A 25,001-nucleotide genomic window follows, 5' to 3' on the forward strand; every position below is an offset into this window, starting at 1 on the left:
GTCTTACATTAGTGGCTCAGGGCATTCATGCCTCAGTTATTTTCTAGATCCAGCAACTGAGTGAGTTGGTATTTAGGCCTAGCATTCACTGAAGTTATCTTTTGTCCTCCTAACAGAGTATATAAACTTCAACCCTGAGTAGACATCAAGAATCTTCCACTTATTATTTGGGGGAAAGAATTCTGTCACAGTCTTTGCATGCATGCAGTGACACCAATCTGACCCTCAGAGTGGTCTCTATTATAATATAGGGGACAAACTGACATCTGTTTCTACTTATTTCATTACTAAAACTTTGCCATAATCGTCAATTTATTGCTGTGTACCTGATTCCAAAGAGGTGTTTATCTTGATTTGAATGCTATGATTGTTAAACAAGTGAACACACTTATCATTGCTATACATTTGGAATATCTTGTGTCATAAAGCAAAGGAGTGCTCAAACATGATGAGAACTTATCAATAGACTAGAGGAGACAGCTCAAAGTGATTTACACTGGCCAACATTGGGTCAATTTAATATCGAAATAAATAATAATAAAAATAGATTAAAAATAGTCAGCCGGGCATGGTGGCTCACGCCTGTAATCCCAGCACTTTGGGAGGCCAAGAAGGGTGGATCACTTGAGGTCAGGAGTTCAAGACCAGCCTGGCCAACATGGTGAAAACTCGTCTCTACTAAAAATACAAAATTTAGCCAGGTGTGGTGGCAGGTGCCTGTAATCCTAGCTACTTGGGAGGCTGAGGCAGGAGAATCACTTGAACCTGGGAGGTGGAGGTTGTAGTGAGCCAAGATCACGCCATTGCACTCCAGCTTGGGTAACACAGTGAGACTCCTTCTCAAAAAAAAAAAAAAAATGAATAAAATAAAAATCCATGAGTTTTTAGAGATATCAACAAATAAATTAACAAGGAAATAATAGAATGCCAACTACTAACTGTAAAAGGGATGATGAAATTTTAAAATCACCATTGGAAAGAGAGAAAGATAAAATAAATACAATAAAATGTTAATTGTGGAATTTGGGTAAAGGATATTCAGATGTTATTTGTATTACTCTTGTGACATTTGTGTCAGTTTGAAATTATTTCAATATAATAGTATAGAAAAGAGTAACATATTAAAACTGTCTCAAATTGTGTTGCTTTAAGAAAGCCAAAAGAATTCAAAATTAGGAAATATATGTACATGAATATAAATCAAATAAATATGTTTAAGGAGGAAATATATACAAACATCTGAATTTTAATAAAAATGTTAGGTAAAATTTCTTGTCCATTTCGTTATAAGTACCTTAATTAGGCCGGGCGCAGTGGCTCATTCCTGTAATCCCAGCACTTTGGGAGGCCGAGGCGGGTGGATCACAAGGTCAGGAGTTCAAGACCAGCCTGGCCAACACAGTGAAACACTGTCTCTACTAAAAATACAAAAATTTGCCAGTCCTGGTGGGGCATGCCTGTAGTCCCAGCTAGTGAGGAGGCTAGGGCAGGAGAATCGCTTGAACCCAGGAGGTGGAGGTTGCAGTGAACCAAGATCTTGCCACTGTACTCCAGCTTGGGCAACAGAGTGAGACTTGTCAAACAACAACAACAACAAACCAAAAAAAAACCTTAATTAAGTGGAAATAGAAGCTATATACTGATAAAAGTGTCATCTCAAAGAAAAATTCAGCCTTATGAATATAATAAAAGATGATAGATTTTCATTAAATTTGATTTTAAAAACTTGAGTATCTGCTTTCATCATAGGTTTTATACTATATTTGTAAATATTGTTTCTTCAGTATTATAAGATAAATATTGAATAGATTTTGAAAAACATTATTTTCATAAGATATTATCTAGAGAAGCAAAGATAGGCAATAAGAAAACTATCAGGAGTGTTCAGGTAGTCATTTATTAAACAAAAATTAGTGCCATTCTATATCTACCCAGGTAATTGCTTTGAAAATATATTGAAAAATAAACCCATGGTAAAAATAGGATGTGGCCTTTGAGATATTGAGGAATTTTAAATTTTTGGAAGATGGAGAGCAGATAAAAATTTATTTTACAGACAAAATAGATGAGTTGAGGAAAACACAGATGTGAATACATATAGAAGTGCTGTAGTGAAGTTTGGTTTCAATTGGCCTGAAAGAGCTGTTTGAGCCAGCTCTGAATGAGTAGGGAGGTAGGGAGAAAGATTGCTAAAATTGCAGGTATTAGAAGAAGATTTTACAGTGACCCCTTTCTCTACCCTCCACAACTCCAGCACCTGAAGCTGTGGGCAGTCTGATGTTGATCTCCAGAAAGTCTATGGATGCATCAGAGAGAATTAGAGTCAAAGGTACATTTTTTTAGAAAAATTTTCTGAAAGCCTAAGCTGCTGTGAGACTTTTTTTCCTCCTTCTGTAATATGGAGTGATTCAACTCTATATTTCTGTGGGAAGGTCACCCTCTAAATCCCGTAAAACAACAGCAGAGCTTATATATCATATGACATCTGAAGAAAGCAGGTCTGGTTAAATTTGGGAAGCAGAAAGCTTTGGCTCTTCAATGTAGAGGAGAGGGACATCAGTGCTTCTCTTGGTTTACTTGTTTGTTTTGTTGTTGTTTGAGACTGGGTCTCACTCTGTTGCCATGGCTGGAGTGCAGTGGCATAATCATGGCTCACTGTAGCCTCAATTTTCTGAGCTCAAGGGATCCTCCTGGCTCAGCCTCCAGAATAGCTTGGACCACAGGTGCGTGCCACCATGCCTGTTTAATATTTTTATTTTTATAGAGACAGGGTCCTCCTATGTTGCCCAGTCTGGTCTCAAACTCCTGGGCTCAAGTGATCCTTCCACCTCAACTTCCCAAAATGCTGGGATTGCAGATGTGAGCCACCACACCCAGCCTCATGCTCCTCTTTGGATTCTTAGAAAAGACTATGGCTCACAGGCCATACATGAGAGAATGCATGTTTACGATGACTATTTTACATTAGTATGGTAGATTTGTTATAATTTGTTAACCAATTTTAATACATTATTAACTACAGTTCATAATTTATTTTCTTAATTGTTATCTAATGTCCTTCTTCTCTTCTAGGATCCCATACAAGATACCACAATATAGTCAGTTGTCATGTGTCTTTAGGCTCCTCTTGGCCGTAACAGTTGCTCTGACATTCCTGGTTTTTGGTGACCTTGACAATTTTGAGGAATACTGGTCAGGTACATGGTAGAATATCTCTCTATTGAAATTTGTCTGATGTTTTACTTGCTATTAGATTGAGGTTATTGATTTTTGAAAGGAAGACCATCGAGGTTAAGTGCCACTTTTATAATATTTAATTAAAGGTACATAAAGAAATGGCATGCTCACTCTCTCTACAGCTACAAAATGGAGATATATATATATATCTATATATATATCTCCAAGCTATCCACATATCCAAGCTAACATAAAAAGCACGTTAAGTTATTTTGTGAATATTAAAGCTTATTTAAAATCTATTTTTGACAGATTTTTTTGATCTTTGTAACAAATTGCTTGATATTTGTTTTTCCCAAAACAACAATGGTTTAAAAACCATAATAAGGTTACCTATTGCCTATTTGTTAATGATCAGGTAGAAAAATGGGGTCATAGCGTTGATTAAATGCAGACAGGTTTAATATTAAATCCAAGAAACTTATACACTGACTTTACAAACTTTGTTGCATAAACATATCACATCATCACTAGATCAATACATTGGCCATCTTAGCTAATTTTTAACCTAGAATGGCTCAAGCATAATTTCAATAGACTTTAAGGAAATAGATTGAATAAATGAGCCATAGTGAACTGAGCTTTCTCTTTTGATACTATTGACAGATTTCATTATGGTTAAATGTAAGAATGTTTAAATATTAACTACAATTTAATTCTAAATGAATATTATTTTAGTTTAAGCTGGAAAGTTCTAATGCCAAATAAAAACATATAATAATTATTATTTATGTAAATTCTCAAGGCCCTTTGGTTGCATATGTTTTATTTACATTTCTTTCACCTGTATTTTATAATAGTAAGGTTAACCCTAAGTAATACTGTGATAGAAATGTATCTTTATTCTCATCTTTCACGTTCTTTCCCCAGAATTCAAGTACATTACTTTTGCCATCTTATAAACCTGTCACTTAGTAAATCTCATTCTTTGGAGATAATACTTGGGTATAAGAGAAAAGAGTGAGTTCAATGTTTTATCACTTCTGCTCAAATAGTATTTGCTTTGAAACAGGCATGAGAAACATATCCTAAGATATAACCCCAGTGGGAGCCTGAAACCACAGACAGTACTGAACCCAATTGCTGTTAATCGATACATGTTTCTGTTCATGTCTTCCACCCACAAATATAATGCCTTTTCCTTAAGCACTCATCATGCACTCTGGCCATAACTTCTGCAGTTTGAAGTGTGACAGCAAAACTTGCATACAATTTTTTTTCCTTTTTCACAATTTTGTGGATAGAAGATTTGTTCTGACAGATCTTAGCAACCCCAGCATATTACTTATTAAATTGAGAACTTTCACCTTAACACTTTAAGGAAGGACTTTAAGGGTTCTCTTTGGCGTATCTGAATTGCCAGCATCACTATTTTTTCTGCTTTGTGGCCATTATTAAGTCAAATAAAGGTTACTTGAGCACAAGCACTGCGGTACCTTGAAAGCTGATCTGATAATAGAGCCAGCGAGTAAGTGGCTAAGAGGCAGAGAGCATTGACAGAGTGGAGATGCTGGTCAAAGGGATGATTCACGTCCCTGGAATGGAACAGAATGGTGTGAGATTTCATCACACTACTCAGAATAGCATGTAATTTAAAATTTATCTTCTTTCTTGGATAGAAATAAGCCACAAATAATAAACTAAATAACAAAAAAAGGAAAAAAAAGCCTATGAATTGTTTATTTCTGGAATTTTTCATTTAATATTTTTAGACTAGGGTTGACCATGGCTAACTGAAACCTTGGAGAGAAAAACCATGGATAAGGGGGAAGTATTGTATTAGTTTCAAGAATCTAAAAGAAAGGAAGGGGAAGCAAAAAGTTAATATTTATGATATTACTTGTTCTGGAATGACCAATGAAAAAAGGTAAAATCAACTGGCAGATTGGTTGCTTAGTGGTCCTTCCAGGGTAGAAGATTTCTAGAATGCATTAACATGTGGTACCAAACTTTTGATACTTGTGCACATTACCATGTTTCCACCACTAGGCTCTCCCCCACAACTCTTTGTCTCCAATCTTTCCGGCTTTTCCTTCCAGGTTTCTGACCAGCTGGCCAGGACTCTTGTCACTGTCCAGGAATCCATTTACATTTTCACCTCTGGATACTTTTCTTTCCACACAAAGTGGGTACCAGGTGCACCCCTAACAGATCCTCATCATATGACAAAATGTCCTTGACAGCTATTAAATGAATTCACGCAGGCCTCACTTTAGAATGTAGCAAACATTAAAAAAAATTATTGAATGAAATAATGAATACATGAATGATTGGGCCCATAAGAATAAGAAAATTTCAACTAATTTTGAATTAACTCTTAACAAATATAGCCAGATTTCAGGAGTAAAATGAGCTTTTAGAAGATACAGATTTAATATTTCCTGGATACTATTATTATACTTTTCCATAATAATACTTACTAAATGATGGGAAAATACACAATTTGGAAAATTTAAGTATTCATTAGCTTTATTTCTTTCATCTAGACTTTTACCTGAATTTACAAGATACACATAAATTTCCCAAATTCATTTGTTTTCCATCACAATGTTACTCGGCTCAAGTGTACTTTCATGCTTTGGTTTACTTTCCTAGAATTCTCTCTTTTCTAGTTATATTCATTAAAGATTGAGGATACTCTTCGTTAATATAACCCCTGCCATGAAGCTCTGTCCACTAAAAAACCCAATGAGTTTCACTTCTATTTGTATTCTTAGAGCATTTTACCATTTAACTGTGTGTTATCTTGAAATTTATTTTTTACATAATTTAGAAGGCTTTGTCCATCCCAAGCTGTAAGCTCTTCGAAAGCAGGAATTATGATTTCTTCTCATTATATATACTTCCTGAGTCTGGAAAAGTGCCCGGGAGAGTAAATGCTCAATAAACACTCATCACAAAACAAACACTCATTTTCTGTATGTTTCTCTTTTCTGGAATAATTTTTTTACCTGAATATCTTAGAAATTAAAGATGCTACTTCTGTTGCTGTAATATAAGCCCATTTATCACTGTAGAAGATGAAAATAATTATTTTCCTTTTATAAAGCCATATGAATTGGTAATGTGTGGTAATGTCCTTTCAGAATAACAATTTCAGCAGAGTATTATTAAATTTAATTAATGTAAAAATAATTCTCTGGTCTCAGAAGCATACTTGCAATAATCATCATTCTAAGCTTTAAAAATTCTACTTTATTCTAAGATGACAATGTTAATATGTTTTATTACAATCTAGTGATTCCCTTGGGCCCAGAACATGTTGAATATTTTATAACACTTTAGCTTTCTAACCTGTAAACAAATAAAATATGTTCAATTCCCTAGGGAGACATTTTATTTCTGAAGTTTATGAACCTCTCTCTGTCTTTTCCTCAGGGCTGACAGCATTTAAGTGGCTGGTCTTATATAATTTATAATGTGGAAGAATTTACTGGATAAGGGGATTCAAAGTGATTATTTGTTTGTTCAAGAAATATATATATTTTAAGTTGCAACACTCTGCTGGGTGTTGAAAGTAAATACATGGACCTTGCTTTCTGGGAGCTTACAATTTATAAGGGATGAGATATGTCTAAATAAGATCAAAACTGGTGATTTAAATCACATGTGACTGATGTAAAAAATTTCATAGTCATACAGAAGCAGGAAGATTATTTCTAGTTTTATTGATCACTGAAGATTTCATGGAAGTGGTGGCTGCTCATTGGGAATTGAGTAAAATGTACATAACTGTAGAGAAAAAGAAAACTCCTGCCCAGGGATTGAACTGTGACAACAGATGCATGGCATTGTAAAGGAGATACTTTAATGAGGTTTAACTGGCAACAAATTGAAGACTGTGGCAGGATGCAGTAGCTCACGCCTGTAATCCCAGCATTTTGGGAGGCCGAGGGGGTGGATCACCTGAGGTCAGGAGTTCAAGACCAGCCTGACCAACATGGAGAATCCCGTCTCTACTAAGAATACAAAATTAGCTGGGCGTGGTGGCGCATGCCTGTAATCCCAGCTACTCGGGAGGTGAGGCAGGAGAATCGCTTGAACCCAGGAGGCACAAGTTGTAGTGAGCCGAGATCCGCCATTGCACTCCAGCCTGGGCAATAAGAATAAAACTCCATCTCAAAAAAAAAAAAGACTGTATCAGTAAAGGTGGTTTGTAAATACAACTATTATGTTAAATAAGGAGGAAGCAGCAGGAATAGAAGTGATGGACTGAGCCTCTACACTAGAATTAGAATTCACCATTGAATGGACATAGTTGTTGACAGAGAAGGTGGAGTTAAAGCAGCAAATTCAATCCCAAGTATCTGGGAGTGTGATTATATGATAAACAGAAATAAATAATCAAGAAAGACCTATATGGGTCTTTATGGGAAAGAAGATGAGCCCAAATACACCAAACTTCTACAGGAAGAACATCTTGAAAACAGGAGTAAGGAAGTAAAGATTCTGAGAGTTCTGAGATGAAGAAGAAGAAATGGGATAGCGTTTATAGCAGATGAATTCAGTCTTGTTGGTAAGGCTGTGGCAAGAGCATTTGAGAGTGGGTGGAGACAAAAAGGTTAACCCTGGATCGGTATTACTGATTGTTCCTTTGGCCTCAGGTTCCAGTATAACTGAACATGCCACTTTTAATGATTCTGTCTTTATTTAAATTTTGATATTCTGTCTGCCATGGATTTTTGCATTAATTTTGATGCACTAAAAATCTTTCATTAAAATGTTTATCTTCATTGTTGTGTTTTTGGCACCTCCTTAAATGTCTGACCTGATAAAAAGCAGGATTTCATAATTGGGGAAACAACTGTTGGCATTTCATTTGTAATAGATCAGCATGTTGTGATGAATACAAGTTCTCAGTGAACTGAAGGTATAACTGAGAGGTTTCTTTTTCTTTTTAATTGCTCTAAAATGTATAATGTAAAATGCACCATCTTAACTATTTCTAGTGTACAGTTCAATAATGCGAAGTATATTCACATTGTTGTGCAATGGATTGCCAGAATTTTCTCATCTTGCAAAACTGAAACTCTATATCCATTAAACAACAACTTCCCATTTTCTCCTGCACCCAGCTCTTGGCAAATACCATTCTACTTTCTGTTTCTATGAATTTTACTACTTTAAATAACTCATGTATGTGGAATAAAACAGTATTTGTCTTTTTGTGAGTGACTTATTTCACTTAGCATAATATCCTCAAGGTTTATTTATGCTGTAGCCTGTGACAGGATTTCCTTCCATTGTAAGGTTGAGTAATATTCAATTGTATGTGTATATCAGATTTTGTTTTTCATTCAACTGTTGATGGACATTTGGGTTGCTTCAACCTCTTGGCTACTGCTACTAATGCTGCTATGAACATAGTATACAAATGTCCTTTGAGAGCCTGCTTTTAATTCTTTGGGTATATATCCATATATAGGATTGCTGGATCACATGGTAGTTCTATTTTTAATTTTTTAAGTAACTGCTGTACTGTTTTCCATAGCAGTTGCACCATATTATAATCCCAGCAACAGTGCACAAGGTTCCAATTTCTCCACATCCTCACCAACACATGTTAGTTTTTCTCTCTTTTTGATAGTAGCCATCTGAGTGGGTGTTAGGTCTCATTGCAGTTTTGATTTGCATTTATTCAATGATTAGTGATGTTGAACATTATCTCATATGCTTGTTGGTTATTTATAGATCATCTTTGGAAAAATTTGTATTCAAGTCCTTTGTCCATTTTTAATGGGATAATTTTTTATTGTTGTTGGGTTGTAGGAATTCTTTTTATATTCTGGATATTAATCCCTTAGCAGATAAATGACTTGCAATTATAATCTCCTATTCTGTAAGTTGCTTTTCACTCTGTTGATTGTGTCCTTTAATGCACAGAAGTTTTAATTGTTGAAGTAATCCCATTTGTCTATTTTTGCTTTTGTTGCCCGTGCTTTGGTGTCATATCCAAGAAACCATTGCCAATCAAATATATAGCTTTCCCCCTATGCTATCTTTTATAGATTTTATAGTTTTGGGTCTTATGTTTATGTATGTAATCCATTTTTAGTCATTTTTTGTATACATTAGCCTAATTTCATTCTTTGCCTGTGGCTATCCAGTTTTCCCAGCACTATTTGTTGAAGAGACTTTCCTTTTCACCCTTGTTAAAGACCAATTGACTATATACATAAGGGTTTATTTCTGGGCTCTCTATTCTATTTCATTGATCTACATGTCTGCCTTTATGCCAGCACCACGCTATTTGGTTACTGTAGCTTTGTAATAAGTTTTGAACGTAGAAAGGGTGAGTCTTTCAGCTTTTTAAATTTTTTTATGATTGTTTCAGCTATTTGAGCTTCGTGAAATTCCATATGAATTTTAAGATGGGTTTTTCTAGTTATACAAAAATTGCCATTTGGATTTTGCTAGGGAACGTATTGAATCTGTACAACACGGGTAGTGTCGACATCCTAAATATATTGTCTTCCAATACATCAACATGGATGTCTTTTCATTTATTTGTCTTCAATTTCTTTCAAAAATGTTTTATAGTTTTCAGTGTACAAGTTTTTCACAACCTTGATTATGTTATTCCTAAATATTTTATTATTTTTGGTGCTATTATAAATAGAATTGCTTTCTTAATTTCCTTTTTGGATTGTTCATTGCTAGAATATAGAAGCTCAACTGATTTTTGTATGTTGACTTTGTATCCTGTGACTTTGCTGCATTCACTTATTATTGCAACTGAGGATTATTAAAAGTGCATATTTGATAAGCAGTATTCTGGACATGAAATGATGAGAATCATCTTACTAAACTCTAACTTGGTCAGAGTACATATGGAGGATTACATTTATTTACAATTGCAACTTAAGAGAAATTCTGGAAAAATAAACAATCCTAGAAACTACAGGATTATATTTGCTTTTATTAAAGGCAATCTGTCTTGTGATATAAGAAGCAGATTTAACATTTGCTACCATAGATAACAGGGGACAGATTACTATATGTTTATATACAGAAGTAATTTCTACTTAAAGAATTATTTTGTTATTAGAATTTAATGGTCCAAGAATTTAATGGCTTGACTTGAAAAACTAACAAGACTCATTCCTATAAGCTTCTAAGTACAGTTTATATAATCATATAATGTTGGAATATCATCAAGATATTGAAGTATTTTATCAATAATTTGTCAATAATAATAGATATAAATACATCAGGGAAACTTAAATTAAGTGTATCTATATTTTATGTTAGCATGCATTAGATAAATTTATGTTTTACTTTGGACGTCAAAGTAATGCTCTAAAAGGTTAATTCCTCAAAATTGTGACTACAAATTTATTATGCATATAAAATAGAATATTGATAAAACAGCTATCTGCAAATTCATATTTAAATTTTAAAAAATGAAGTTTCCTAGTTTCTTAATAACCAAAGCTTATGTTTTCTTCAGATTAGCTAGAAAAAATGAGTTTTTTAATTTTACCATTATATAGGGTTTCAAAAACTCCTAAAATTATCAAGTAAAATTTATATATCATTTAGATATGAATCATGTTTTAAGAATGGCAAAACTAAATGTATGAAAGAAAAAGGCAAAGAGAAAATTAGCCAACATCACAACTGTTATAAGATATCACTGTGAACAACTGACTATTGATTCATCATAGTCACAATTTGGGATTATTTAGCTTGCAAACTGCAATGTTCACTTCTGTATTCCAGATGAATGGAGATGTATAATGAAATCCTGAGTCCCTATGATGCCTATTAATCTTCCACTATTTGTGGTTGAAGTAATGTAAGTTATGGCTGGGTGATTTTGTCCTGAATTATTCACAGAAACATTCCCCTGAACTCACTCTTCCTTCCCTGGTACCGTGAAAACAACTATATTGAATTTACAATTGGTGATTTTAAGTATGTGCTCGGGAGAAGAACATGGGAAGAAGTGAGAAAATCTGCCCTGCTCAGCTATGGTGTTTATCAAAGTCCATGCCTATGGACTTAAATTCAATATAGGGAAATCTCTCATCAAAAGTCTAATTTAGTATTTAATAGATTTAGAGAATAAAACCATTGGCACATTATCTTTTCTTTCAAAGTATAGTATCTGCTTTATTGATTTTTAGATATTTCAGTGGTGGCAGCCCCAGGTACCAGATCTTATTTGAGATGCCTTTTTTTCTCTATTTCAATTGAGTTCCATGCTTCTGGCATCCTGTTATGACAGGAGCTCTACTGGTAAGAAAGTCTAATTATTGCTTATAAATAATAAATCATTTTTTAATTGTTTTTTCTTTTTTCTTGTCTTTTATGTATATTTCAAGTCACAAATTCAATGTCTCTATGAGTTAAATGGCTAGTAATATTTCTAATGATTCCTAGATCAGATTTAGTAATATACTTCTTTCAATGGATATGTCCATTTTGTCCTTGCTAAATTCGCTAGCATATAATTGTTTATAATATTGCCCCAAATTTCTTTTAATACCTGTAGGATATTAATATCCTCTCTTTCATTTCTAATGTTTGTAATATTTGTGTTTTCTCTTTTTTTCATGATCGGTCTAGCTAAAGGCTGTTAATTTTATTGAACTTTTCAGAGACAGTTTTGTGGTGGGCAAAATAATGGCACCCAAAGATGCCCATCTCCAAATCCCTTGGAGCTATTAACATTACCTATGTAGCAAAAGGGACTTTGCAGATGTGATTGAGGCTAAAGGTCTTGAGATAGGAGATTATTCTGGATTATTCAAGTGGGCCCAATGTAATCACATAAATCATTAAAAGTGGAGAACCTTTGCAGCCTGGTTCAGAGACAACGTGTGACTACTTAAGAAGAGTCAGAAAGGGGCAACATAAGAACGACTTAACAATCCACTTCTGGCTTTGAAGATGGAGGAAGAGGCCTAACGGAAACGGTGTCTCTTAGGAGTTAGAAGCAGGTCTCATCTGAGAGCTAGTAAGAAAACCAGGCCACTACCCTGTATTTGCAAGAAACTGCATTCTGCCAACAATCTGAGCAGAAAACAGATTTTCACCCAGAACCTCCAGAAAAGGACACAGCCTGCTAACACCTTGATTTTATTCTGGTGAGACCTGTAGTAGACTTCTGATCTTTAGAACTGTAAATTAATAAATTTGTTTTGTCTTAAGCCACTAAATTTGTGTGGTCTGAAGCTGCTAATTTGTGGTAATTTGCTACTGGCAGCAGTAGAAAACTAATACATGATTTAATTGAATTTCTCCATTGCCCATTTTCTATCACATTGATTTTGGGTGTTATATGTTATTTCTTTCCTTCTCCCTCTTTGGGTATATTTGGCTCTTCTTTTTCTACCATTTTATGGTGGAAAGTTAAATAATTGATTTTAAACTTTCTTTTCTAATATAAAGCTTAGAGCTATATTTTTAACTCTAGGCAATACAGTTTACGGCTTTATCCTGCAACTATATTTACGTTCTCATTATTTATTTACAAATATTTTCTAATTCCAGTTGTGATTTTCTTTTTTAACAATGTGTTGTTTAATTTCCAAATATTTGGGAATGTTGTGGATACTGTTCACTTATTAATTCTGAATAAAATTCAGTTCTAGCCAAAGAACATACTCTATATGACTTCTGTTGTTCTCAATGTATTAAGGCTTGTTTTATGGGCCAGCATATTTTCTGTCTCACTGAATTTTCCAGGTGTACCTCCAATTTTTCTATGTACAGCATAAGGTGTGTATTCTGCTATTGTATGGATTTTTTAATGGGAAATAGGTCAAGTTGGTTGATAGTATTGTTTGTGTTGTTTATATTCTCATTGATTTTCTTCTTCTGTAATTACTGATAGAAGAATAGTTCTCCAACTGTAGATTTGTATCTCTCTTTTGTTTTGTCAATTTCTGCTTCATGTCTATTGAAGTTTTGTCATAGGACACCTATACATATAACACTGTTATGTCTTGTTTCAAAATAAGTAAACAATTTACTTTTATAAAATGCTCATCTACCTTTGGTACAGTTTTTGTTCTGAAGTCTATGTTGTCTGACATTGATATAGCTCCTCTAGTTTCTTACGATTAGTTTGTTTTTGGTTTCTCTTCTTCCATCTTTTAATTTCTGCTTTATGTCTTTATATTTGAAGTACATTTATTGTTGTCAGCATTTCGTTGGGTCTTGATAGTATATTCAGCCTAATGTTTTCTTCCTTTTAATAGGAGCATTTAGATCTGTGCCATACAGTGTGGTACTAACTAACCAAATGTGACTACTCAGTACTTGAAAACTGGCTAGTCCAAACTAAGGTGTGCTATAAATGTAAAATGCACATAGGATTTTGAAAACTTGATATGAAAAAAGAATGCAAACTATCTCAATAATTTTTAATGGATTATACATTAAAGTGGTATTTTTGGTTGCGTTAAATAAAATGTATTATCGAAATGAATTTACCTGATTTAATTTTTAAAAATATGGCTATCATAAAATTTTAAATTGCTAATATGCTTCTTCTTTTATTTCAGTTGGAATGTTTATACATTATAATTACACTATAACATAATTTTAGTTATGGTTGGGTTGAAATTTTGCAATTTGTTTGCTTTTTTCTTTTCAATTCTTCTTCTTTTAGATTGAGCATTTTAGGATTTAGTTTTATCATCATTATTAACTTTTTTTTTTTTACTTTAAGTTCTGGGATACATGTGCAGAATGTGCAGGTTTTTTACATAAGTATACATGTGTCATGGTGGTTTGCTGCACCCATCAACCCATCATCTAGTATTTAAGCCCCGCATGCATTAGGTATTTGTCCTAATGCTCTCCCTCCCCTTGCCCCCAACCCCTCAATAGGCCCCAGTGTGTGATGTTCCCCTCCCTGTGTCCATGTGTTCTCATTGTTCAATTCTGACTTATGAGTGAGAAAGTGCAGTGTTTGGTTTTCTGTTCCTGTGTTTGCTGAGGATGATGACTTCCATCTTCACCCATGTCCCTGCAAAGGACATGAACTCATTCTTTTTTATGGCTGCATAGTATTCTGTGGTGTATATGTGCCAAATTTTCTTTACCCAGTCTATCATTGATGGGCATTTGTGTTCTAGGATTTGCAATTGCATCTACAACATATCAAAATCTCCATTCAAATAAAATTTTATCATTTTATACATAAAAACCTTCCATTCCCCCTTCCTGTTCTTTGTCTTACTGTTGTCCTATTTTGACCTATACAAGTTGAGCATCCCTCATCCAAAATGTTTGGAACCAGAAGTGTTTCAGATTTCAGATTTTTTTCAAATATTGGAATATTTGCATATACATAGTGAGATTTCTTTGAGATGACACTAAAGTCTAAACAAGAAATTTATGTATACCTTATACACACAGCCTAAAGGTAATTTTATGTAATATTTTTAATAATTTTGTGCACCCATCACATGAGATTGGAGATTTGGAATTTGCCACTAGCAGAGTCATGTTGGTGCTCAAAAACTTTTGGATTTTGGAACATTTCAAATTTTAGATTTTTGGATTAGGGATGGTCAACCCGCATTATAAACCTCAAAATACATTAATATACATTTACTTTAGACAGTTTTATTTTCATATGAGTTTAAAAATAAGAAAAACTTAAAATTCTGCCATTTTCCAGTGCTCTTAATTTTTCGTGTAGACCCATGTATGTCTTGGATCATTTCCCTTAAGACTGAGAAACTAACTTCCTTTAGCATTTTGTTTAATTCAGGTCTTCTCTTGATAAATTTTCTTATAATTTTAAATTTCTTTAATTAAAATTTTTTTTTATTTAAATCAATTTCTTTAATTTTAGATACATTTTAATTTTTAATTAAATTTTTTTTTTAGATAAATAATTCTAGGTTGATGTTTTTGTCCCCCTAGCATGGTAAAGATGCTGAAACTTTGCATTGTCTTCTCAATTACATTGTTTCTTACAAGAAGTCTATGATCATTCTTACTATTTTCCTTGTATCTACTCAAGATTGTTCTTTTTGTCACCAGCTTCCAGCAATTTGGTAGTAACATCTCAATATAAATGCCATGCTTTGCTTGGAGTAAGTGCATTTCCCTATACTGTGGTACCAAAAGTGCATTTAGGTAGACAGCTAGGGAAATCACAGGACTCGTGTCATTTGTACTTTTTCTCCTCTCAGAGATCATAGACCCATACTGCCTATTGTTCTGTGTCTGAAAACAATTGTTTCATATGCTGAACATAGTTTTTAAGTTGTTTATGTTGGTCACATAATTTTTGAGTCTGTTTTTCCATCATAGCCCAATGCAGAAGTCTATACTGTGTTTTTAACCTATGTCTAAAAAAGAATAAGGCCAACTCATTGAATTTATGCAATGTGATTATGTTGAATTACAAATAATAAAAATAATAATGTAGTTACTTTGTAGTGCCCAATTTTTTTTTTTTTTTTTGAGACAGAGTTTCACTTCTGTCACCAAGGCTGGAGTGCAATGGCGCGATCTCAGCTCACTGCAACCTCTGCCTCCTGTGTTCAAATGATTCTCCTGCCTCAGTCTCCTGAGTAGCTGGGATTACAGGCATGTGCCATCATGCTCAGCTAATTTTTGTAGTTTTAGTAGAGATGGGGTTTCACCATGTTGGCCAGGCTGGTATTGAACTCCTGACCTCAGGTGATCCACCCACCTTGGCCTCCCAAAGTGCTGGCATTACAGGCGTGAGCCACCGCACCCGGCCCATAGTACAATTTTTAATAAGTTATGTATCTCTGATTTAAGTAGGATAGAATAGTATTTCTTCTGCTTCTTACTCTTCTACTCTCTGAGCCTCATAACCTTTAAAGTCAGGATCACATATTATATCTTCCATGGTGAATTCTCTTATGTTTCCTTAAGAATAAGAAATCTTTTTATCCTGTCTTCTCAGAGCATTTATGCATATCTTTGTTAGGTCACTTTCAACCTGAAGGCAGGCATGTTTCTTATTGTTACAGCTTGCCAGCAAATTCCCTAAGCACAAGAAGCAAATCATATTCAACTCTAAAACAGCCATGATAGCCCACACCTTTCCAGTAGTAAATGATAAAGAAATGTTTTTAAATGAATGAAATTTAACTCTTTTGACTGCCTTTGTATTCACTTACCAATATTCCTATGTATTGTACATAAGCAAAAGAGAACTATACTTTCAAAGTCTCAGTAATATATATTTTAAGCAATGTTTTAGAGTTAAATTTTGGAAATAACTGACTCATGCTTTTTTAAGTTTAGAGTGAAATGACCTATAGGTACAATGAAATTCCCAGTAGTTTATTTCTCCCTGCCAAAGAGTAGTACAAATATATGATAGAAACCCAGAGGCACATTCTCTACAGGACTCTTTTTTTTTTTTTGGTACTTCTGTCAATCATAGGCATAATTAAACCAAAAATTGTTCTGCTTTAGTTGTCATATGTATTGAGCAAACTTAAAATGAAATTAAGACTATTGTTCTGTCTTTGAAATAAAATGCAAATAAATTAAAATAACTTTTAAAGAAAAAAGGATATACTATATAGACTTGGAAACATAAAAATTTATTTTTAATGGATGAAGCTGGAAACCATCATTCTCAGCAAACTATCGCAAAGACAAAAAACCAAACATCGCATGTTCTCGCTCATAGGTGGGAATTGAACAATGAGAACACTTGGACACAGGAAGGGGGACACCACACACCAGGGCCTCTTGTGGGGTGGGTGGAGGGGGGAGGGATAGCATTAGGAGATATACCCAACGTAAATGACGAGTTAATGGGTGCAGCAAACCAACATGGCACATGTATACATATGTAACAAACCTGCATGTTGTGCACATGTACCCTAGAACTTAAAGTATAATAATAATAAAAAAGAAAACTTATTGCTGCTTATTTTTTTTGTTAGATTTAAAAATCTACAGATAAATTGAAAGACCAGTACAAGGAATGTCTACACAGTCTTCACCTGGATTTACTCACAGTTGATTAATTTTGCCATATTTTACTACTCTCCCTCAACACACATTTGAACTTTTGTTGCTGACATCATGACACTTCACCTACAGCATTCATCTGCAAAAAGTATGGCAGTCTTCTAAATTAACCTAAGAAAAGTTTCACTAATTCAAAAATATCACAATATATACAACACATATTTAAAAATGTCTCAATTACACAAGATATATATTTTAATAGTTAGTTGTTCATTTACTTGCCTTTTATTCATTTGTCTTAGGTAATAAGATTCATAAGCTGTAGTCAAAGTTCACACACAGCCTTGAGGTGTTATGTATCTTTTATCTCTTTAGATACATAACAGTAGAAGAGCCCTGAACCTTTTTGTTTTGTTTTGCTTTTTATGATATTGAGTGTTTTAAAGGATCCAGTCCAGTTCCCTTATAAAGGGTGCTATTTTCTGGACTGATCTGATAGCTCCTCATGATTACATTGTCTAGACATTTTCAGCAAGAATACCATATTATTGATATTGTGGATTTCTTATTGCAATACATCAGGAGGTTTAAAATGTCAGATCTTCATGCTACTAGTAATGCTAGGATTGCTCATTGTGTTTAAGTGGAAGAAAGTAAAATATACACATTTAAAATTACTTACTTTGTATTGTTTAATCATACCAAATAAAGGCATTTTTTAAATGAATGCTAAATATAGCACTGTTGTTTCCCCATTTCATTGAGTAGCATATAAATTTAGCACTAATACACATTTTTAATCTTAATGTTAGCATTATAGCTTTGCTATATTAAACCAATGATACATTTCTTTTTAATGTGTAAGTTATTGTACTAAAGAGTGTAGAAAGGTGACTTTCAATGAAAAAATATAGGCATATATAATCAAGACAAATTTGATTGGAAAAATAATACAATTTTAATGAAGAAGTAAAATTACAAATTAATTTCAGAAGCATGAGTAGGACAGCATGCTTATCATTTACAGCTATTTGATGAAACTAATTTTTATACAATTTTATGTATCACATTTTTAAATGCGCTTAAGTCACCAACTATCTTAATTATTTGATAAACAGGAAGAAATGTCTATGCTAAATAGCTTTTGGCGGTTTATCATAACTATATTTGGAAGCAATATAATATGCTAGAAGTTTTGATAAGTTGTCATAGAAAATTTTTGTCAGTAATAGACTAGTAAAATAAAATGCTGTTATGACCTTTGTTTGCAAACCTACCTCTTATCTACTTTTATTGAATTTGCCAGAAATATAAGCATTTGTAATTACATAAAACACCCTACTGAAATGCAATTTTATGATCAGAAAATATAGACTTGCAGAATAGTTTGGCATTAGAATTAGCCTAGGGGTAAGGAGAGCTGATTTATAATTATGGACTATTCTCTGAGTCATGGTTTGAAAACAATATTTTTTTCTCAGTTCTTCCTTCTGGGATTGTTAATATAAAAAATATTTGTTGTCTGTCTACCTCTGAAGTAGATACAAGAATGAGTTTCTATATATTTCTCACTTTCATTTACACAGTGAAGAAAATACTTTGAAATTTTTAAAATTATTTTAACCACCAATTTATTCAACCATTACTTACTTATTATTACAATTACTTACTTATAAATAAGATACCAGGTTCTGGGTTATTGTTGGGTAGGCATGAAGAAGGTCACATGTTCTATGGAGCTGACATATTTAGAAAGCCAAATAATAAAAAGATATTTAAATAATAAAATATCAAATAGGAACAATTACCTAAATAGAATAAAGCAGGATAAAGGGAGAATGATTAAAAATGAAAGGTATTTTATACAGGGGAGACTTTTCTGTCTCCATGGCATTTTAACAGAGACCAGTGAAATGAGAGAGTAAACTATGAGCTGATTTGGGGGAAAGTCACTTAAGGCAGATGAAGGAACAAGCACAAGGCCAGGAAAAGGGAAATATCTCTGGTTCCCAGAAAAATAAGGAGGCCAGTGTCCTAAAGCAGACCGAACACTGGAAGAATGATGGGAGATGTGATAGGGTCATATTAAAGCTTGCAGGTTCAAAAAGAACTGGGATTTTATCAGAATGTGAAGGAAAACCTTTAGTAGTTGTTCTCATCTTGGAGTGATTTTGCCCCCAGGGGACATTTAGCAATGTCTAGGGAAATTATGGTTGTCACAAGTTGGAACTTGTCACTGGCATCTAGTGGGTAGAGGCCAGGGATGCCACCAAATATACTACAATGTGGGCACAGCCTCCACCTCCAACAAAGGACTGTCCAGTCTAGAATGTCAACAGTGCTGAAGTAGAGAAACCCTGAGGAGCAAAGCATCTCTTGGACTTCTCTGTGGAAGGCAGAGGCAGAGGTGGATATACAGGAGGCTGATTAGGAGGTTACTGCAGAAAAGTGGCTTGGACTATAGGCACTAAGAGTGGATGTGGTGAAAAGATATCTGATTTGAGATGTATGTTAGAGTTCATGTCTGTGGGCTTTGCAAATCAATTATATGTAAGCATGAGAAGAAGAGAAGAATCAGGGTTGATTCTTGGGTCTTCCCACTGTGCAGCTGTGAGTTGGATGGTACCATTTGCTGACATGAGGAAGAAAGACTGAGAGAGAAGCTGACTGGGGTGCATGAAAAGAAGCATGAGAAGCGGAGATAGTGTGTTTGATCTAGGACATAGATAGTTATGATGGTTAATACTGAGTGTCAACTTGACTGGATTGAAGGATGCAAAGTATTGTTCCTGGGTATGTCTATGAGGATGTTGCCAAAGGAGATTAACATTTGAGTCAGTGGACTGGGAGAGGCAGACCCACCCTCAATGTGGGTGGGCACGATCTAATCAGCTGCCAGCATGGCTAGGATAAAAGCAGGCAGAAGAGAAAGATGGAAAGACTACACTAAGTCTTTCAGCCTCCATCTTTCTCCTGTGCTGGATGCTTCCTGACCTGGAGCATTGGACTCCAAGTTCTTCAGCTTTTGGACTCTTGGACTAATATTAGTGGTTTGCCAGGAGCTCTCGGGCCTTTGGCTACAGACCTAAGGCTGCACTGTCGCCTTCCCTGCTTTTGAGGTTTTGGGACTTGGACTGCCTTCCTGGCTCCTCAGCTTGCAGACGGCCTATTGCAGGACTTCACCTTGTGATAGTGTGAGTCAATACTCCTTAATAAACTCCCCTTCATATATACATCTATCCTATCAGTTCTGTCCCTCTAGAGAACCCTAACTAATACAATAGTTTAGGATTCCTATAAAATGTTCAAGTAGGGCCATCAGGTACATCCTTCTCTGGAGCTCAGAGGAGATGTGGTGAAGATAAATATTTGGGAATCATCAGAACGTAGACAGTATTTTGTACCATAAGGCCAAATGAAGTCAGTAGTGAGGGATTATAGATGAAGAGGAGATGACGAAGGACCAAGCTCTTGGATACTCCAACATTTAGAGGCCAGAGAGAATAGAAGGAAGCTCTGAAAGAGACTGAAAAAGAGCACTCAGTGAGGTAGGATTCCAAATGCCAATGCAAAAAAAAAAAAAAGATTTCAAGGAAAAATACAGGATTAGTTGTGTCAAATGCAAAATATAAATGAAGAATTTACAAAGGAATATATGCAAATAATTAGGTATGTGGACAAATAATCATACTAGCAATCAAATGAACCAAAACTTTAATAATGAGATATTATTTTTCATTGATAATATTGGGAGTTAAGGGTTAATTTGTGCTTTATGAATCCCTGCAAGCTGGCTTTCCAGAAAGTCAGTCTTCACCCACCCTAGCAAAGCTCCCCAAAAAACTGGCATGGCCCAGTACTCAAGGAAGTCAGTCCTGATCAACCCTAGGAACTGTACTTCATGGGAAGGCTTGGTACTCACAGCCAACAGAGGCTGATGTGAATCCTGTCACCAGGTTGCTCTGATAACTATCTGCAATGAAAAACTTTGACCCCAGACACATGAGTATACCAGGAAGAGGCCAGGAGGAGATGGAGCTAAGGTTCTCACACATCATATGGCTACTATAGCCCAGTCCCTGATCCTACTAGGGGAGAGCTAGATGCATCCCTAATCACAGACTTAAAGGCCACACAGTCCATGGGTCAAGGACTCTCTCACTGAGCTGATATTTTTTCCTGCCAGATCACTGCCCAGTGCTTCAGATCGTGATAAGGCAAGGAGGCAAGGGTGGTAGGGGTACTATGACTGCTATTGCTCCTGTCTCAGGGAGTTTTCCCTATGAATCAGTTCCAGGAGATGCTGATGTATCTGCTGAAGAGCTGTTTGGTTTCATTTGCACGTAAATAGTCACAAAAATAAAATAGTGACTAATGTCAAATATTAGTGAGTACATGAAGAAATAAGCATTTGTTTACATGTTTTACTGTATATTTTAGGAACTTCCTTGGGTAAAATCTGACAGTGGTAAGTACCAAAATATAAAAGATGGAAATGCTTGGTTCCAGCAATGTAACATCTAAAAAAAAAACCAGATTAATATGCAAAGCATTATTTTAATAGTGAGAAATTAGCCAAAAGGCCTAATTTAATCTAAACAATAAGGAATTGGGTCAACAATCTATATCAACAAAATAGAATTTCATTGCATGTGCTATATTTATGTGTGAAATGCTTTATAGCTGTATAGATAATGTGATTTCTTTTTATATTTATAGATATAAATATATACATATGTGCTTTATACATTCAATAGAATGTTAATTAATAGTGATTTTTCTCAGATGGAAATAAGGTATTTTTCATATTCTAAATTGTAATGTTTTATAATTACAGTAGTCTGAATTTCTTAAAATAAGAGTATTTTACTTTTACAAAAGATCATACATACTACATTTGAAACATAGGAAATCATATATTTTCATATATTCTATATTTTATTTTACTTTAGTAGACTCTACAAAGAAACAAGAAAGTAAGATAATTTTATCTTCCAGTTGCTACATTATAATAAATTTTTTAAAACTAATTTTCACAAACAATTGCCTCTTTCATTTCAAAACAGTATCTTAAAGTTGGAAACTAAAATGAACATTGATAACAAATATATCTTTGAGTGGCACTGTATTTTAAATAACAAATTTGTATTTTTTTTAAGAAAAGTTCTATTATTGACAATACAACACCATGGGGGTATATACTAAATTCGTCACTATTACCTGAAATTAAGAAATAAAATGAATCTATGCCAAGATTAAGGAGAAAGCACATGCACATGGAGAAATCACTTATTTGTATCAATGCTACAAAGAAAAACTACTTCTAACATCCAGCAACTGGCTTGGCACTCATAGCTAAGTCATAGTATTCTCATGTTGGTCATGTGCTATTTCCCAGAACACTGACATCAAACAAGGCTGTAGCCACGAAGGATCAAGACAAAAACAAAATCACTGTGTAATCATATCTGAACACAGACAAAAGCATGAATATTGTCCAGACCACAAAAATGTTCAGACATCTCCATATCCTGGCTAATATGCATGACTGCTGCTTCTGCACCAGTCAGGCTTTAGCTTCATTTCAGTTTGCTCATCTTCTAGATTAGATTTATCATGATAAACAATCTTAGAATTATCCTCCTTTTTCTGACAGCATCCATGCCAGAGCAAAGTTCAGCTTTTTAAAATCCTCTGTCAAGCCACTTAACACAAAGTCAAAATCCTAAAATAAGTCTTTCTCACACCCTCTTGCTAAGTTACCCCAGCATTTGCCATGGTGTAGATTCTCCTTCATTGCAACAACAATAAAACCAACTCTTCAACTATGGGTGTGTCCCTGGTAGTGTTTGAATGGCAGGCATTGACGATGCATTGGTTCTTTGAATGGACAAATTTGTCTTTATGAATACTTTCAGCTCTAAGCCCTTTTGTTCATTGTGAAAGTTGTCAGAATCAAAATGAAGTAACTTGTGTTAAAAACAAAATAAAATTCTGATAAACAAAGCCAGGAAAGACAATAAAAAGTGGGTTCTCACACTTATATGTCTAATTTAACTACCACAAAAGACTGCAAAAACCACCACTTTGCAACTTTACACAAAAAAAATACTTCTGCAAGGACATCTGCCCAGCAAGTGCCTGTCTAATCTTGGACTGGCACCATCCTTGTTAATGATCCTTGTAGCCAAGGATAGTTATCTCAAAAGAATTATGTAATCTTCCTCATTTTTTTCTTAAAAATTTTTTTGTCTTCTTTTACCTTTTTGAATACACACATAGTTTACTATGACGCGTGTAGTCCCATTGCAGCCCTATTGCCAAATAAATATCTTTTTCTTTTAGAAAGCCTCTCTCTTATTTGTTATTTAAGTTGACATAAATAGTGTCCAGAAGTGAGACCTGGAACAAGATCACTTTAGAAAGGAAATGGCAACTCTTGGAAATGAACTGCAGAATTCATTTGAGCTCTTTCAGCTCTCCACTTCCTCAACTCACCTTTTCTGCCCTGGTGAGTCTTCTCTTAGGCTGAGCCTCCCTCCTTTCTGTTTGGTAGAAGCTCTAGACATTATTTGGAATCTGATTTGGATAAAGGCAGTTAAATAAAGGACCTTACATTCCTCCTGAGATAATAAAAACCTTTTGTGTTTTTGGAAGGTACTTTATGGTCTAAGGACAAGTGTTCTCCTGGTTTGAGTACTCTGATTTCTGTAAAATTTACATTCTGTCTATGAGGCATGTCTTTTCTGCATGCCTAATTTAATACTTTATTTTATCTGCATGCCTGGATTAAAACATTAAGGTCTGCCAAGTTTTCTGGTACTTTAGCCACCTGCATATCGTGGCCTGTTCTCATGCATATATTTTAACTGATGGGCAAATTACATCAAGAAAAATTCAGAGCTCAATGGTCATTATCCAAACTCTCTTTAAAAAACTCTTACAATGACAAACTTAACTTGTAGATCCTCCTAAGTTATCTGTCCATTTTTTTCTGCGTACTTTGAATCTGCTGACTTTTATGTTGGTGTTGACATAAAGCTCACTGCTTTTGGCAGCCAAGATAAAAAAATGTCTTAAAGAGCTTTCAAATTAATGGGCTTACAAATTACAACAGTTCCATGGCAACCATCAACCTAGATACATTTTGAAGATGTAACTTTAGGTTTGCTTGACTAACAATTGCTTAGGGTGATAGAACAGTTAATGAAAGGATTAATAGTACAAAAACAAAAAAAAAAAAAGAAAGAAAGAAAAGGAAATGCCAGAGAAATGTGTATAAAAGTTAAGCTCTCAGATTATACAGGTCAAAATCTTGAAATCAGAGCAAAAATATAATGTGTCTCTGTCCAGAATAAAAATTGCTGTGTCTGCCATGCAAGGGCCAGAAAACATTGAAAAACTGCTGAAATGGTTTCATGCCTGCATTGACTAGTCAAGCAAACCAGACCAGCAAACATAAGATAGACTCGTTACTGAAAATTCAAAGGTACTTGAAGTTTTGATTTTTCTTATGCAATTCACCCAGTCCCAGCTAAAATGCAAGCATTAAAAATTTAACCAGACCTCATTTGAAACTGAAAAAAGAAAAAAAAAAGAGATTAAAAAAAAAAACCTCCTTTATCCAAATTTTGCTCCACAGCCTTTGTTAGATTACCTAACAGGTCAAATAAACTTTAGCCATGTAAACAGGTCCCATTTTGTCAGAAATGTAATTTGGATCAGATTGTCTTTTTTTAAAGTGATGAGTTTGTATCACTATTTCATGACTAAAATTTTATATTTAAAGCATAAAATCTTTACTTGTGTATATGTAGAAGTGTTTAGGTGTGTTC

General features: G+C 34.3%; 1 annotated feature.

The window, feature by feature from the left end:
• Positions 500-665: a silencer, noted in NCBI's record as "fragment chr4:72836369-72836534 (GRCh37/hg19 assembly coordinates)". NCBI's record gives its function as "represses an EF-1alpha promoter that drives an FKBP-Casp9 reporter gene in an ReSE screen in K562 erythroleukemia cells {active_cell/tissue: K562}" and the evidence as "EXISTENCE:reporter gene assay evidence [ECO:0000049][PMID:32094911]".

The sequence above is a fragment of the Homo sapiens genome, chromosome 4 (assembly GCF_000001405.40).
Source record: "Homo sapiens chromosome 4, GRCh38.p14 Primary Assembly".
Lineage (NCBI taxonomy): Eukaryota > Metazoa > Chordata > Mammalia > Primates > Hominidae > Homo > Homo sapiens.